The 18,481-nt window shown below is 45.7% G+C and overlaps 1 protein-coding gene across 1 annotated transcript in view, besides 1 other annotated feature; it reads right to left on the reverse strand.

Annotated features, from left to right (window-relative positions):
- KCNJ10 (potassium inwardly rectifying channel subfamily J member 10) overlaps positions 1–18,481 on the reverse strand; it is a 32,694-nt gene continuing 14,213 nt past the window's right edge. Inside the window, exon 2 of the mRNA NM_002241.5 lies at positions 1–5,066. Coding sequence (NP_002232.2) covers positions 3,927–5,066 — 1,140 coding nt within the window. The 3' untranslated portion in view covers positions 1–3,926. The remainder of the gene's footprint in view (positions 5,067–18,481) is intronic.
- Positions 8,193–8,487: an enhancer, noted in NCBI's record as "tiled region #2622; HepG2 Activating DNase matched - State 5:Enh". NCBI's record gives its function as "activates a minimal TATA promoter and a strong SV40 promoter by Sharpr-MPRA in HepG2 cells {active_cell/tissue: HepG2}" and the evidence as "EXISTENCE:reporter gene assay evidence [ECO:0000049][PMID:27701403]".

Raw genomic sequence — 18,481 nt, forward strand, 5'->3', positions numbered from 1 at the left:
TGACAACCAAAGAGTCATCCATTTTATTTAGTAGCTTATTTTTAACAGACAAAAACAAAACAAATCTTACACACCTTTTTTTTCCTAGATAAATTTGACCTGGTTTAGTCTTTAGTGCAATGAATGGAAAAAACATCCCTAAATACTTCTGCATCAGTAGAGTTGGCCATTACTGAGCCTGGAGACCCATGCTAACTTTCCAGCAAAGGTAGTGTGTTACTGTACAAGTGAACTAGGTTAGCTAGCAAGAATAAAGGACCAGGGCAGCAGCCATGGAGAGGGCACAGTGTCCTGGACTTGTAGCAATAGTATAACTGGCTTTCTTTCTCTGCTCAGACCTTATAGGGAAACTACTGGATGATTTTATTAGGCTGACAGGGGTTGGGGGAATAATGGGGTGAAGCACATTGCAGAGATTTCGGAAGCCTCTCATGGAACTTCACCATCCCCTAGAGCAGCTGGTAACCCCACTCCTCATTTTCATTCAGAAGCATCAAAACCAAAGCATCACCCTCCATGCCCAAATGCCAGGATTGGAACTCTTCTGGAATCCATGGCTTTCTCTTTGGGCTGCTTGCAGCCACACAAAAGGCTGGGCCTTGACCTTGGGAGATCTTCAGCCTAACAGCTATTAGTCCTGGCATTTGGATTCCAGGGTTGAGGCTTCCCATTAGTGCCTCCCATACACCAAAGTGTTCAGCTCCTGAGTTTGATTTCAGGGGCTAGAGCAATAGCAGCTCCCACCCCTGTGGAAGACGGAAATACAGTGTACTTCATGAAAGGGAAACAAAATGGTGCTTTATTTTATTTTATTTATTTTAAAAAGGCGCTACAGTGGCAGGACGCTGCTGGGGATGGGGACACACAGTGTAAGTGGTAGATTTTCCAAGACTTCCCCTCCCTATTGTCCTCCGAGTTCCTCTCTTCCTGGTCCTATCAGTAGCATAGGATTCAACAAAAGCCTTCATGAATGCCTCTTTATTTCTGAAAAGGAACTTCTACCCCTCCCTTTCCCATTTCCAGACTTGAAATCCTTCATCAGCTATCTCACTTCCATGTTGAAACCAGGACCACTGATTGTAAGTCTGAAAATCTGGGTGTCCTACCCCATAACCAGGCCAAGATATCTGCCCCCAATGCTAAAGTCTCTGAATATTTCCTTTCTGTACATTCAATATATTTGGGCATATATACATCTATATACATCTTTCTATATATATATTATCTCTGTTTCTTTCTTCTTAGATAAACCTTTCATATATGTCATATCCTAATTTCCCAAGCCTCCCCACTTCTTGTTTGCGAGCCTAAGCAAGACTCAAGAGTTTCATTGATTTCACTAGGTCCCTCAGCATCATTTCTTTCTCATCTTCTCACCCCAGGTATCTTCCCCCATCAGTTGTTTCGCCCGTCTTCTGAAATCTCCCCTTTTTACACCTGTGCCTACCGAAATCTCCCCTTTTTACAACTGTGCCTACTACTCTGCTGATATTCCAAGTCCACAGTTGGTATGGGGGCCCATTTCTCACCAGACCTGGCTGCTTCTAAAGCTCGGCCTATTGCCTAAAAGAGGATTTCAGGTCAGAGGAGACAGACTATAGTCTAAAGAACCATTTAGAGTTAAGGTAGGGGGTAGTTGTTCCCTGTAGGGGGCTTGTGGGAGAAGATGCCAGATCGCATTAATAGGACAGTGTGATTTAAAGTGCAACTTAAAGCAAAGCCTGGGTAATAATGGAGGAGATTCCAAAAGGGTAAGTCAGAAAATGTTTTCTTCTCACTGTTTCATCCAAGAGTCTAGAGGCTTGAGTCTGGGGGCTTAGAATAGACAGCAGGGGAATGGGAAGAAAGCATAGCATGGCCAAATAAACCAGATGGAGGTTAACTTGGCAATGGATAGGAAGGTATAGACACACACACACACACACACACACACACACACACACACACACACACACACAGCAGTACATCTTGTCCCTACACACTGAAAGAAATAAGGTAAGTCTAATGTTGAATAAAGTTGAGAACGCAGAAGCTGGCTCTTGGCCTTCTGTTCTCTGTTTCAGATTTTTCAAGTTTTTGTGGTTCTTGTTTTTATGCCAACTAGAAGGTAATGGTGGGGTTTACTGTAGATGGACACCGAAGGGTCTTTGTTTTCAAGATATAGTTAGTTGAGTTCGAGGAGAGATCAATATAACAAGACCTTGTGCAATTATAGTTGGTGGTGATCATGGGTCTAGCCTCAAAATTTTGTGTTTCTCTGCAAGGCTCTGTACATAGATGCATGTATATATTCTGTAGCTTGTAACAATTGGCTGAGACCACCTTAAACTGCAACTTGACTTATAGTGGGACTATGCAGTACCACTATGTGAGGCTTCCTTGGTACCAAAGTGAGACCAGAAAGCACTCTAGGGATTTGGGGCTTTGGATAAAGCTCTGGTGCCTATATGCCCTTCCCTGACCCTTACCACAGACCCCACCAGGGAACAAGGAATAGGCTGAGTTTGATCTCTTAAAGTCTACTTTTTAACTTGTCTGAAAATGGCCTCATGGCAGAGGAGAGTAGAGATGACACTGATTTCTTCATTTTATACCAAGTCTCAGGAATGGCTGAGGGAAGCCATGGTTATTTGATCAGAAGGTATAATTTCATTTCCTTCCAGCATTGCCTAATGAAATAGCTGGCACTTTTCAGAAGGGCACTGGGAGGTGTAACTGAGAATAGTGGCTGCCAGCCACAGAGTTCTGCTCCTGCCCAAACCTTAACAAAGCATCACCAATTCTCAGAGGCTCTGTACAGCAGTTTGGAAATCTGAGAATTTACCCATCCCTCATGGTGGGATTGTGTTAACTTTCTGGGGAATCTGTGCCCTGTGAATCTAGTTTTACTTGAGCATCCGTGTTAAGAGAGGAAGGCCCTTGCATTTTCCCTCCCTTCTCCCAAAGAGTTGGGGTTAAGGAAGAAGGATCTAGGCTGAGCAGGAAAGGAAGAAGAGAAGCCAGGTACAGTGTAATCTGGAATATTATTTTCAGACCTTTCCATGGGGCCTGGGTACTGGACTCTTTTCAAAGGAACATATTGGCTTGGGTCCTTCCATTCACAGGACACAGGGAAACAGATCTTCTCTGGGCTGCCTGGAAGATAGGTTTAAAGGTTTAGATAACAACTTGTGTTAGTCACTCCAAATTGAAGAGTTCAGAATCCAGGATAGATATGGGTGGTTATATGTTTATGTTTCTTGGGCCAACTCCAATTCTCTGAGAACAGAGGCTATGAGGGAACTGGGTATCCTGAGAGTGTTCACTTGAGAAACTACAGAGGGAAAACAGTGGCGACCATGGTTCTAGCTTATGGTCAGAAGTCACCAGCAGAAATCAAGCTTCACAGTGGCAAACCCTGGCTTCTTTCAACAGAGATTGGTAGAAACCCTAGGATATGTTGATATCAGATTCCTGTATTTCTGAAAGCACAGACCACAAAGTGACCATCAGAGAGAGTCTTGCCTTTGGGAACTTGCTAGATGGAAAGGTAACAGAGGGAGCTCCAGCCTCAAGTCACCAAACTTCATGGTGGTGGTGGGAGGTAGGGGGCAGTCTATCCTTCCAACCACATGGTCCTCCTAATGTGAGTATCCAAGCATGGCTGAGGCCTTCTAAGCCACTTCAGCCTAATCCCACTCTTTCCCCCATCCTGGCTTAAGGGAGGTATGTGTATTGGGGCAGAAGCTGGGGAAGTGGAAAGGGGACAGTGGGAGGCGAACCTGGACTCCAGTTGGCCTAAGCTACCAACAGGCCACTGGGTTAAAGAAGAGGGAGTGGAGGATGGGTGCTTCGGGGGATCTCCAGTAAACCCGGGTAGTATTCCTTACCAGGGCATTGGAAGAGAGGAAAAGAGACCAGAGGAATGGGGGAGTGGGAACAGGTCATCAGACATTGCTGATGCGCACACTAAGGGCACTGCCCTCCTTCTCAGCTTGCTCCCTTAATGACTCCTCCAACTTGAGCTTTTCAGGGTCTCCGTAGCGTACAGTGCTGTCACGGAGGCCACTAGGAGAGGCCACTTTCACAACTTGGTCAAAAAGGCTAAAGTCAGCTATGTATTTACCACTGGCTGACAGTGAGATGGCAGGTGTGAACTCGTAGCCCCAAAGGATCTCCTCTGGCAGGTAGGAAGTGCGCACCTGACAGGTGGCACTGGTGGACTCCACTGTCCCACTTAGGATCAGCACCAGCTCAAAGTCACCCTCACCACTGCGAAGAGGGAGATCTTTCAAGGGACTGGTCTCATCTACCACATGATAGAAGGTAAGGGGTAGAATAAGGAAGGGGCTGTCAGAGGCTGTGTCTACTTGGAAAGTCACATTGACCTGGTTGAGCCGGATGTTCTCCCCTTCCTTGGTTTGGTGGGTCTGAAGCAGTTTTCCTGTCACCTGGCAGCCAATGAGGAGGCTTTTGCGCATATTGGCAACTCGGATCATGAGGCAGGGCTTGCCATTGTGGGAGGCCACAACTGCATGCTGGCTGAAACGAATGGTCTCAGCCCGCTTCTTGGGCCGGGCAATCTTCGCCAGGAAGGTACCTGTGATGAAGATTTCCAGGATGGTGGTGAGCACCAGCTGGGCAATAAGAAGCACAATGGCCAGTGGACATTCCTCACTGATGTAGCGGAAGCCATAGCCAATGGTGGTTTGGGATTCAAGGGAGAAGAGGAAGGCTCCAGTGAGTGTGTGCACCTGTACCACACAGGGGGTGTGGTTGGCCGGGGGGTCCAGCTCCAGCAGGTCCCCATGTGCCACAGCTACCAGATACCACACCACGCCAAAGAGGAACCATGTGCCTGCAAAGGTCGCAGAGAAGAGCAGAAGCTTGTAGCGCCACTGCATGTCAATGAAGGTTGTCCACAGGTCCTTGAGGTAGAGGAAGCGCTTGTCGGCAATGTGCTCCATTCTCACGTTGCTGCGACCATCTTTTGTCAGGACTCTCCGCCGTCGTATCCCTGGGCCCATTAGGGGCCGGCTTTCTGTCTGAGTGGTCTGACTGTAATACACCTTGGCAACTGACGTCATCTGGAGGGAGCAAGACAGCATAATGGAGGTTATCGTAGAAATCCAGCTGACTCCTAACCCTCACCCCATGGGAGGGAGGAATTAACATTCATTTGAATGTCGCTTATGTGTTCTTGTCTTACCAAATATTTATTGAGCACTTGCTATGTGCCAGGCACTGTGCAGGGGCCGAGGCGGGTGGATCGCCTGAGGTCAGGAGTTCAAGACCAGCCTGGCCAACAAGGCAAAACCCTGTCTCTACTAAAAATACAAAAATTAGCTGGGCATGGTGGCATGCGCCTGTAGTCCCAGCTACTCAGGAGGCTGAGGCAGGAGAATCGCTTGAACCCGGGAGACAGAGGTTGCAGTGAGCCGACATCGCGCCACTGCACTCCAGCCTGGGTGACACAGCGAGACTCCGTCTCAAAAAAAAAAAAAAGTAAATAAAATAAAATAAAATAAAATGACATCATTCTGCTCTCCAAGAACTCACAGCCTAGTGAGAAAGATGCCTATTTAGTAAGCAAATAATTGCAACACAGTCTGATATTTGTAATTCTTAGCGGAAGAGAGGCAGAAAAGAAAGAGTAGTAGCTTCACATTCCTTGAAGGTGAGGGTGAGACTAATGAGAGCCTTCACCACAAAACCAGTCCTCCGAAGAGCTCTAATTTTGAAATAGGATCCATCCCCACCCTTATGAATGGCTATGAAGCAAGACAAGCTATCCTGTTGAAATCCTTCCAGGCCAATCCCCCTTAAAACACACACACACACACACACACACACACACACACACACACACAACCTTAATTTCTTCATTCTCTGCTCTACCCCCAAGCCAATACCCACTGGTGATACTAAGATACTCATCTGGTTCAGAGAATAGCAGAAACTACCCATTCTTTTACCCTTCAAGATGCTCCCTAAGCACCCAGACCATTTCATTTTTTATCATCATCATCATCATCTGTTTGCATCATCTGGGGAAATTTGGTCTGAGTTAGAGTCTAGGGCAGTGTTAGGAAGAGTACAGATGGGACTTGAACAAAAGGAAATAAGCAGTGGTGGAGGAGAAACAACATGTTAAAACTTCCTGGAAGCACTGGGACATTTTCTGAAGGACTGGCAGAAATGCCAGATTGTGGGTGGCAAAATTGTTTTGACAGAATGAAGTAGAAGAGCTAGGGGTGTATATTAACTAGCAGCTATGTCTGCACAGGCTCAAATTCAGTATTGCTATTTGTTCTGATAGCAGAAAGTGGGGCAAGCCACTGAAATAGGAGACAATTCACTTAATACAAGGTGCCTGGCACCCTTGCCCAAGCAGTAACTTGTACTTTTCCAGCACAGAAAGAATTTTAATCACTTGAGCCCTTGGACCCTGGATCTGATAGCCAGATCTTCTGTGGAGCAGGGTGATCTCTGGGGAGTTTAGCCCTTCTTGGAGAGGCTCATTACATTCTCCATTCGAAAAAGTCTGAACCATTGCATTTTATGATTCTTCACACTGCCCACCCCACCCCCCATCTCTATTTTCCCCATGGCCTTGTCCCTGGAAAACTTCAAATCTTTTGGGCCTGACCATATGCCCAACCAGGTAGGCACTGAATTGGAGATCACCAATGGATGAGAACCCTGAGAATGTTCAGAGGCAACAAGGATGCCCAATTTACCAGCCCTGTGTCACAGGCCATTTGGAACTTCCGTTCATGCAAGACTGTTCAACCAGACCTGGATGTCATTCACTCCCCTATATCCTTGGCTGCTTTGGAACAAAAAGGAAGCTCTGCAACTCTGAAGTTTGAAGAATTTGTATTTCAAGCCTAAACAAAGCCCTATTTAGTACTCAGTAGTAGTAATAATAACATAACAACCATACTGCCTGTATCTATATACCATTTTAGAATTCACACATTAGAATACCTTCTCATTTGATCCTCAAACTCTTGAAAAAAAAGATGTAAACTCCTATAAGATTTTGAGGAATGAGAACAGAAGAAGTGCTGTAAAATTAGAGATGAATGAACATAGTTTTAATTTTCAAAAAGAAAAATGAAGTACCTTTCACAAACTACAAACAGGTAAGATATTGATCCTAGGCAAGATTCTAGAATGGAATATTAAGATTACGAGTACTTAGGTAGGATGGGGGAAAGGAAGTTATCAATAGGACCCAGTGTGGATTTACTAAGAACAAGTCACATCAAAATGGCCTAATTTTGGCTGAGTGTGGTGGCTCATACCTGTATCCCAGCACTTTGGGAGGCTGAGGCAGGAGGATCACTTGAGATCAGAAGTTCAAAACCATCCTGGGAAACAGCAAGACACCATATCAGCAAAAATTTTTAAAAATTAGCTGGATATGGTAGCACACACCTGTACTCCCAGCTACTTGGAGGCTGAGGCAGGAGGATCACTTGAGCTCAGGAGTTGGAGGCTGCAGAGAGCTATAATCATGCCACTGCACTGCAGCCTGGGCAACAGAATGAGACCCTGTCTCAAAAACAATAATAACCTAATTTTCTTTTATGATAAGGCTACTAAATTGACAAATCGAAGAAGTGCAACAGAGAACGTGTACCTAAACTTCAGGAGATTTTTGACAAGATCTCTCATTATGACCTGGGGATAAGATAAAGAAAAATGAAGAGAATGCTAATCTAATTCGGTGACTTTAAAAATCAGTGGTACTGGTGAGGGGACCATGATAGCCTGGAATTCATTTTCTATTGATACACCAGAGAGCTTCATCTTTGGCCTTGCCCTATTCAATTTTCTTAACATGAACTTCATTCAAAACTATAGAATGCTATGGCCATCAATTGTGTGCCTGACAGAAAGCTGGGACAGATAGCAAATGCAAGAGCTGGGGCAGAATTAGGATCCAAAAGGAGTCAAATAAGTAGGCCAAGTCTAACAAAAATGTTAAGTGCTGGATTATGTACTTGGGTCCAAAAATTACCTGAGCAAGTTCTGGATTGAGAAGATGTGATTTAGCAAAGCAGTACAATATAAAAAAATTAAACATATTAGCAGAAAATAATCCAATATGAGTTATTCATGTGTTTTGATTGCCAAAAAAGCAAACTAATCTTAAGCTCCTTCAGTTGAACTGAAGTCCCTAGAACAAAAAAGTAGTTGATTCTACTCTGCTCTGTTCATCCCACACCTGCAGTATCCAGCATCAAGGAACACTCAGGATATGAGAGGATTCAGAACCAGACCACATGAGAAATGATTGAAGGAAATAGGGAAGTTGATTCAGGAGAAGAGACAATCAGAAAGATATAATGAATGTGTGCAAATATTTGGTTTGAAGGACTATCACGTGATCAAAGGCTTGGACTTGTCCTTTGAGCTCCAAGAGGAACAATCAGGGAGTTCATACTGCAGGGATAAAGATTGCAAGTTGATATTATAAAGAGCATTGTAACAATCAGGAAGGCACTTTGGACAAGCACTTTGCAGAGATCCTATGGCGGAGATAAAAGCTTTGGATGGGAGATTGAAAGACTGTCTTGAAGATTCTGTCTATACCCATGGTGGGTGAGGATGTCTGCCTTCTCCACCCCACTTCTACCCCTGCACTTTCTATGGTGACATTCAGGGATCCTTTACTGAAGTCCTAGCTTTGTTTATGTTGAGGGGAGATTCTACATATCTTGGAGAATGGAAGCTCTTAGGGCCCAAGAAAAGCCTTGCTTATCATTCCCAAAATATTAGTCTATAATTCCTTCTCACTTTAAAATTTATAAAATATATAGTTTGATCCTCACACCATGAGGTAGGTAAGAAAGACACCATAGAAGCTAAGGCTCAGAGAGCTTTGCCCCAAGTAGATTAGTGGTAAAGTTGGAACCAGAATCCAGGTCTCCCAGCTCCTGGTCCAGAACTTTTTAATTGTAGCAACTGCTTTTGTGTGCCCCAGGTTCATTCTCTTGGACCTCATGCTCTCAGCAGGTGCCACTATGGTACGCTGTATGTAAGACCACACATCCCAGGGTTAAGGCTCTAGACTCAAGGGTACTGGAGATTTCGGCCACTGCTAGCCTCTTTGTTGCCTCTGGCTGTTGTGATTGCCACCTCCAGCTGTAGTGCCTGTGGTTGCCAGCCTTTGTATCTGCCACCTCCAGCTGTTATCTGCTGCTCCCAGCTGTTGTGCCACCTCCCACAGCCAGGCAGCTTTGTTCTCTGCGGTGGCCAGAGTCAGAAGCGGATAAACAATCAGCTACACTCCACCCCAAAGCTGGCCAGGCCCCTGGGGAAGGAATCGAGCCAAAGCTCTGGAAATCATCTGTTGCGCACCCCACCACCCCGGGGCACCCCCGCAAAATAAAACATACTCTTTCCTCTAGAGGGTGCTATTTCCCCAAAACAGTCCCAGCCGGCCAAATACCAGAGACAGAATTCTGAAGACCAGCCTGAGTGGCGAAAGAGACAGAAACAGAGATATTCACCTTCTTTCTCCTCTAAGACTGAACTAGTGATCCTTTCCCTAAAACAAAGCCAGTCATAGCTACAGTGATGATCAGCACGTTCCCTCAGCAAGTACCACTCCCACTTACTGCTACCCCCGGAAGTTCTTCCTGAAGCTGTCTTTTTTTGCCTGTGCACTCATTTATTTTACTTGAGAGTCATTTGTTCTACTTGAGAGTCATTTATTCTCCAGGATAATACATGGATTTATCAGGGCCTTTCTTGAGTAAGGACACTGTTGTTCTTGTGACTCTCAATAACTTGATCTGTGGCTCCCCTTTGCTTTTTGCTACTTCGCTCCTGGGTTTCTCTTCCTCAAATACACTTCTGACTAGAAAGAGTGCTTCAACCTCCTCCCAGGGACAGCAGGTACAGGGGAAAGAGAAAAGCTGCACCAGCAGGGAAAGTGCTTTATCTGTTTTCTCTGTAGCCTCTCAGCACACCATTCATGATTTGGTCTCTGCCTACTTCTGACTTTACCCTTGACAATCTTTCACAGGCCCCCTGAACTCCAACGCAGAGCCTCACTACCCAATCCTTTCTACCTTTGGACCTGCTTCTGCACTGCCCTGCTCCGTGCCTACCTGATGATCTCCTTATCTTTCAGAACTCGACTCAACTGTTAGTTACTCCCTTTGACGCCTTCCCTGACTCTCAAAAAAACAATTCATCTTCTCTGTCCCTCCCATCCCTGCCCAGAATGGGTTTACTTTACTATGCTTGCTCTTGTACATATTCTCTTTCCCCCACCTCACCCCCCGCCAGATGGGATCTCACTCTGTTACCCAGGCTGAAGTGCAGGAGTGCAGTGGTGCAATCTCAGCTCGCTACAACCTCTGCCTCCTGGACTCAAGCAGTCCTCCCACCTCATCCTCCTAAGTAGCTGGCACTATAGGCATGTGCCACCATGCCCAGCTAATTTTTGTACTTTTAGTAGAGACGGGGTTTCACCCTGTTGCCCAGGCTGGTCTCAAACTCCCGGACTTAAGTGATCTGCCCACCTGGGCCTCCCAAAGTGCTGGGATTACAGGTGTGAGCCACTGCACCTGGCCCTCTTGTACATATTCCTATTTTGAAGCATTATAGTGCTTTGAGATGGTTTGTTTATCATTGTTTACCATCTTTGTGCTCCTAATTTAAGACCACTGACTCTGCCTTTCATCTGTTTCCCCAGTGCCTAGTATAGTTTGTTAAGAAAGAGTAAGGGAATGACTGAAAGCCTGATCTGGACGGGCCAAGGCCTCACAGGAGACACCTAGTTCACACAGACCTTCAGGAGGAGCCACTTCAGAGTGCGAGGGGACCCAGGTTTACACAGGCTTTGCTAATGCTGCAGATGCCTACACCCTGTTTTCAGAAGGTAAGAAAATAAAAGCCCAAGATATCAGTCCCTGCTCCTTCTGGGCCAACTGTTCCATTTGCAGGGGGCTGGGGAGAGAATGAGCTTTGTAAATTGCTACAGAGCATTGGAGTTGATTATGCTAAATTAGGTGACTAGAGAAGATGCTTCAACCCCCTCCCAGGGGCAGCAGGTGCAGGGGGAGGGGAAAAGCTGCACCCACAGGGAAAGTGCTTTGTCTGTTTTCTCTGTTGCAAGAGCAAGTTGACTGAAAGGAGCTTTGGGATATGAATACTAAATGCATTCACTTCCAATTGTAAAATCCTTTCTTCTCCTACTTGCTGCTCTATTTTGGTTCCTAAAATAGTTAAAGGGACCATCATCCTACCCATTACCCACACTCAAAGCCAGGATCATCTCAAACTCTCTTCTTGCCTCAACTCAACATTTATCTAAAGCCATGTGCTGTGGATTTATTATTTGTGCCTCCTCTCCTTCATTCCATTGTCTTTTTTCAGGTCCTAATGCCTTGTGGCTGAATCACTGCATCAGCCTCCTACTCATCTCATGTCTCTGTTCTTTCTCTCCTCAAATCCATCCTACATTGCTCCTGGGTTTCTCTTCCTCAAATACACCTCTGATCAGGAATCAATGAACATTTATCCAGTACTTTAGAAAGCACTTTCACATTTTATTCTCATGGCATTCCTATGAAATATTAAGATTATAATCCTTGTTTTACGAATGAGGAAACTGAGGCTCAGAGAGATGGTGTGACTCAGTAAACTGTGGAATTAGATTCATGCCCAGGTCCCGTCTCCCAAATCCATCCACTTTTCATTTTACTATAATTGTCTTAGTTCTTTCTCTAGCTCAAAACATTTTAATGTCTCCCCATTATCTATCAAAGACAGGCCAAACCCAGGCTGGCATATAAGGCCTTCCGCAGTCTGCTTCTGAACCTGCTTTCTAGCCTTATCTCCGACCACTTTTCTGCTATGGCACACTGCATATTGCAAGCAAACCAACCACTCCCTGCTCCCTGCTGTGCACTCCCATGCTTTTCTGCCTTCCATGATCCTGCACTTCTCTCTTCCTGGGCTCCCCTTCCTCCTTGTCTTTACCTATCCAAGTCTTATCTTTCAGAGTCCAGTTCAAATAACCCCTCTTCCATGAAGCCTTCTCTGATTCCTACAACCTTAAGTAATGCCTCTCTTTTCTGAGTTTCCATATATGTATATCTATATCCAACTATACCCGTAATGGCACCGCTCTTAGTACATGGTGTATCATTTGTATTCTACTACAAATAAGGTCATTGAAAGAAGGATCCAGCATTTTATTTATTTATATATATATATATATATATATATATATATATATATATATATATGTTATCCTAAAGATTAGCACAATGTATGACACATAGTAAGTGCTCAAGAAGTATTTTATGATTGAATTAAAAGTAGGAGGGGACTCCTAACCCACTCCAGCCATAGGGGCCAATCTAACTGACTCCATCATCATAGGGCCAGGGAGATGTGGAAGTTCTTGTCCTAGGTAGAATGGATGGAACTTCACTCTGGTCCAGCACTTCTCACTCTGGGGCCTTCTCATTCCCCCTTCTTGTCTGTATCTTCTCTTGATTTTTTAATGATGTTTTCTTTTTTCCTTGTACACATGGAAACCCGAGATAACTAATTATCAACACTAATAGGTATGCAAACAAACCAAATGTTTTCATCTGTATTAATGTTGCCCACCACATTCAGTATGAGCTGTGTTTTTGTTCATTTATACAATAAACACTTTGTTATTGTTATTGAAACTGGGTCTCACTCTGTCACCCAGGCTGGAGTGCAGTGGTGTGATCATGGCTCACTGCAGCCTCGACCTCCTGGGCTCAAGTGATTCTACTACCTCATCCTCCTGAGTACCTGGGACTACAGGTGCACACCACCACACCCAGCTAATTTTTTTTTTTTTGTAGAGATGGGATCCCACTATGTTGCCCAGGCTTGTCTCAAACTCCTGGGCTCAAGCCATCCTCCCACCTCAGCCTCCCTAAATGCAGAGATTACAAGCATGAGTCATCATGCCCAGCCTCAGTAAACATTTTTTTTTCCAGCAACTACTGGGTGCCAAATTCTAAACAAGACAATGGAATTATGGAGATGGATCAGATGTAGATTCTTTCCGTGAAGACCTTGCAATCTAATAAAGGAGAAAACTGTAAAACAGGCAGGAAGTGATAAGTGCCATGGAAAAGGCATCAGTGAAGTACAAGAAGAGCTTGTGAAGGGAAAACTGACATCTAGTGCAAGGGAACAGGGTTGGGAAAGATGAGGAAATCCAGGGCCACCCAGGAAATAAGGAAATAAGGATCCATTCATTTTGGTTGAAGCGTTGGGAGCACATGAAAGATCTTAATAGGACACACTGGGAAAACAGTGATGTGCTGTGACCCCTCAACACCCTCCTGCTTTGTGGCCAGCCCCTGTGGATTCCTTCATGGCCAGCTGCAGGGCCAGGGTCAGGCCCTGCAGCTCCTGCAAGGGTCAGGTACAGAGCCTTGGCTTCCTCCATGGTGCTCCAGCCTGCTGGTCTGGTCTTTTCTTTTCTCTTCTTTTCTTTTTTTGTGGAGTCTCACTCTGTCTCCAGGCTGGAGTGCAGTGATGCAATCTCAGCTCACTGCAACCTCCACCTCCCGGGTTCAAGCGATTCTTCTGCCTCAGCCTCCCGAGTAGCTGGAATTACAGGCATGAGCCACCATAACCAGCTGGCCAGCTGGCCACCATGTTGGCCAGGATGGTCTCGATTTCTTTACATCATGATCCACCTGCCTCAGCCTCCCAAAGTGCTGGGATTACAGGCATGAGCTACGGTGTCTGGCCTAGCCTGCTGGTCATTCTTTCTTAGAGCCACTAGATGATTTCTGTTTTTTGACTGTGGAGTATTTCCTCTTGCAAATGTTTGGTTCAGGGACATGGAAGGAGAGATGGAGGGGAACTATCATGTATTGAATGCCTACTGTAGACCAGCACTTCATATTTCATCTTTTTAACTCTGTAAAACAAATCTTATTATCTTCATAATTACTGCTGAGGAAATTGAGGTTCAGAGAGCCCAGGTGACACAATTTATTGGTAGCAGAGCTGAAATTTATGCCTCTTCCTGGCTGGATTCCAAAGTCCTTTCCACCATTACTTCAAATTAATACTATAGTTTATTTGTCTTCACTGAGCAAACTCAACACTCAACAAGCAGAGATGACACCTTAAGCATAGTGGAGGTTAGCAGGAGCCAGACAGGTATGCAAAATTCACCAGCAGTGATGCCCAGGATGTATCCAAGGGTTGGAGGCGACGCCCTTCCTTCATGGCTGCTTGATCCCATTGTTTCTCCTAGTTTTGCATGATTTGTCTTTATTCTCCCCACTTCCTTCATGTGGACTCTCCTCCCAACGGTCTTCTCATCTCTATCAATGGTGCTTCTCTGCTTGTCCTCTCTTTTCATCCTGGCTGTCACTAAAATGTCTCCCCGACCCGTTCCTCCTTCTCACCTCCCTCTTTGCCTTTGTATTGCCTACACATCTCTCTGGCTGTCCCTTCTTTTCCTTATGGTTTCTCCAGCTTCCTGTATCTCATCCTGGTAATAGTATGCTATCCATCTAATCATAACTCTCGCCTTCAAATTCTTTACCACACTTTATCCTTCTATTCTTCTTCTGTATCACACAGCCTATGTGTCCATATTAATAGAGATATTCTAAGCCCAAAAGCCTCCTATTCTTCTCCCTACTTCTTCCCTGTAGAAAAGAGCCTTTTGATTGAGGGATCTGGAAATGAGATCAGAAAGGGAGGCAGATTCCTGGAAAATAAGAACAGTGCCTACTATAGCTATTAACTAATCCAATTATCTTAGGTTTGAAGGTCTTTCTGAACCAATCACTGTTTGGTAAAGACAAATGAATAGGTGGATAGAAATAGGGACTCAGCTTGCTCTCTGTCCTACTATCTGTCCATCATGCTCAAGAACCCCAGATCCAGCTCTGTTCTTCTTCCAACCTTGAGGGCTTACATAATCCTTGCAGTACTTTTCTTCCTTCCCTTCCTGTCCTATCCTTCTCCTTCCTCTTCCATGTTGGGAGAGCCCTGTATGCAGTAGAGGGGTTTTGAGCACTATGTCTCAGCACCTGAGATTAGGCTGGTCTCCACACCCACACTTATCTTAGACAGTTGAGCTAGGTATCTGTCCATGCCCAGTATTCTGAAGATAGAGTGAGAGAATTAGGCTCAAGGATGTGTAAAAGCCACTCAGAACTAAGAGACAGCACTGCTTGGTGGAACATGCACTGGACTGGGAAGTAAGAGACTTGGGTGCCGATCTCAACTCTGCCACTGACTAGCTGTGACCTCAGTCAAGCCTCTCAGCCTCTCGGATCTGTATTTCCTTCATTGTGGAATAGGGGTTGGTATTAGTTTCACACTTCTCAAACTAGGGCATACACTAGTATGTCAGGAGGCACTCAAAGCCACAGGACTAAATTTAGTATATTTCCTGAAGTTATCAATTTTGCTCAGATTTTGAGGGAAAATGTTGTTTTAATATTATGCCAACAATGTACAATGAAGTAGAATAAACATTTTGAATGGCTTGAGACAAAAAGAGATTTCAAGGATGTCCAGTGTGTGGCCGCTTACAGCTCATCCCTGTAGATTCTAGGGCACAAATTCCCTCTCCTCTGCCTTTCAGGACACATTGCGAGGTCAGTCTGGGAGGTGCTACGTTAGAGGATGATTAGGGTCACTTCCTGCTGTAAATCTCTATGTCTAGCCCAAGTTGCCTCCACAGCAGTCTGGTCCCACTCCTCCCCCCGGCCTCGGTGGAGAGAGCAAACAGCTACTCAGCCTCATCTCACCAACCATATTATCTGTTTTTGGATACCAGTTCCAACTTGAATAGCGACCTTAGAGTCCTCCAGAAGGAGATCAGTTGCATTGGGATGAAAAAGAAGCACTTCTGGGCTTCCAAGTGTTCTTAATGAGGGTTGGGGAAGAGAAAATGAAGGAGAGGGGTAAGAGAGGAAGGGCAGGAAGAAAAGCACTGCATGGTTATGTAAGCCCTCAAGGTTGGAAGAAGAATGGAGCTGGATTTGGGGTTCTTTTCAAACTTGATGTCTTTATTCATTAATCCGCCTCCTGTCTTGCCCCAAGGAAAATAAACAAATAGAAATGGAGCCAGATGCACACAAATCCTGAGGTGGGGAAAAAGAGGGCAGTGTGTGTGTGTGTGTGTGTGTGTGTCCTGGGGCCTGACTCTCCAGCTGAATCACTGTTGCCTCTGTCTCCCACTCCCTGGTCTCCTTCCCCCTTTCCCTCCCATCCTCTAGCCCCAGCCTGACATCGAGGCCCTGGCCCATGGAAGAATAGGCTTTTCTTCTCTTGTGTCAACGTTTGGAAAGTTCTCATAGTCTGATCAAAAGAAAGGATAAAAGCCTTCAAAGCATTTCCTGGGAGTCTGTAACCTCTGCATGGCCCTTCTGACCTGCCTGTGTGTTTTCCAGTCAAGAGAGGGAGGGACAAAAGATGGGGCCACATCAGATATTCTCTGGCCAGACACCACCCCTGCCTGTCAATGTGAGCTGACTAGGACCACTGCCCCTTCCTCCACCTCAATCCCCAAGCGGTGCCTTCTGTCCCCTGCAAGAAAGAAACAATGTTCTGTAGAGACCTGCCCACAGGATGGCATCTTGGGGACCCCCTGTTTCGCCGGCTGGAGAGGGAGGAGGACTTCCTGGTTCCTGTGACAAGTGGGTGCTGCCTCTTTGATGCACCTGCCCTCTCAACCTTTCACACTACCCCTATTGCACGCCCTCCTGAGTCATCACCCCATCCCGGTATCTGCTGCTAATCATTGTCTGGGCCAGCAAGGCTCAACAGGAGCTGGTCCTTTGTGAGGAGCTTGGCACTAGGCAGGGTTCAACTGAGGACAGAGGCTATACCACTGTCTCCTCAGCCCCAGCTCCAGCAATCCCAGTAGCCTCCCAGCCTGGCCCCATCTGGGTCCTCACCTCAGAAGAACATCTACTGGGAGATGTTAACCCATCCCTCCTCATCTTAACTGAACAGCCAGAAGAATTAGTATCAGTGCTAAGAGTCAGCTGGAAGCAATGGCATCTATAGAAATAACTCTTGTTGCTATTGTTATTCCTGTTGTTACCGCTAAGACATGCGATGCTGAAAAGGTTCCGAAGGACACTAGGGAAAATCTCAAGAGGATCCGAGCTAGGTTAGGGAGAGTCAAGGTGATAAACGAGAAGTCTGTTCAGGACCCTCCTTCCTGTGTCAGCTCTGCCTGGATCTCCAATCAGTCATCACCTGGCCTAGGCCCCGAGATTCCCCATAGGAAGAATCCATCCCCAACTTATCTCCAAAGACTGCTGGTTGAGGGGATCAACCTAGTTTAGGTACCAGAAGTATTTTTTCAGTCAGAGCCCCTCACGAGAGTGTACCCCCACCCCTAGTCTCTGCAGAGGGGGCTGACCAGGTTGCAGATGGGGAGTGTGGAAGTGGTGGAGGTGAAAGGGAACTCCTGCAAATTTCAAGCTTCACCAGCGATTTACCACTCTCCACCCCATGCGGAAGACTGACCTCCCCAACCATCAGGGGGTGGGGCTCCCCAGTCCCCTGGGGCCACCCTTGCCTGCGCAGTTGCCTGTCTCATAACCTCACAGCCCCTTCCCCGACTCCAGCTCACTCCTTTTACTATTAGGTTGAATTCTATGAAATCATCCATTTAATACATGGGTTCCCTATTGGCAATATCAAAGGGTTCAATCTAACAATACCTAATAACAGTAAAAATAACAGTAACAATCACCTCTGTAATATGGGGTTTTGAAGTCTACAAAACACTTGTATAAATTCAGAATTACTCCATTTGCCCCACACAGCCAGTCTAGGGGGGGCAGGGGGCAGTTAAAGCAACAGGAAGCAGGAAGCTCTCTCCAGTGTCACAGCTGACCTTCCATCATTAAATCCAAGGGTGTCTTCTCAGCCCTTGACCCCAGCAGTCTCTGCTACACTTGAGACTGATGACTGACCGGTCTGTTCTTAACACTCTCTTTTGGCTTTTATTGAGGTGTGGTGGGAATCCACTGATTTTATCTACCTTGATTAGCCATTAAGTAGCTCTGCCATTTCTAGGTTTTGTGATTTGGGGCAAATCACTTAAATGCATGAGTTTCTATTTCCCTTATCTGCAAAAGGGGCATAATAATACAGAGGTGACGGGAGAGTTCCATGTGATCATATGTGTGAGAACACTGCATGGGTTGTGAACACTACATGTGTGCACAGTCTCACTGTTACTCTCGGACACCATGTTCTCGGGGTTCTTTCTCTACCTCTGTGTTTACTTTGGATCATCTCTCTTGCTGTAATCTCTCCTCTGCACCTTAACTGTTGGTGTTTCTCAGGAATCCATCCACTCTTGACTCTCATCCTTGATCACTGTACTCCATCTTCCTCAACTGTTTCCCCCGTTCCGTGGATTCCACGTCACCTCTGCCCTGGGTGTCCAAGTACTTACAGGCTCCCGCTACCTGGAGCATTCCAA

Source organism: Homo sapiens, chromosome 1 (assembly GCF_000001405.40).
Source record: "Homo sapiens chromosome 1, GRCh38.p14 Primary Assembly".
NCBI lineage: Eukaryota > Metazoa > Chordata > Mammalia > Primates > Hominidae > Homo > Homo sapiens.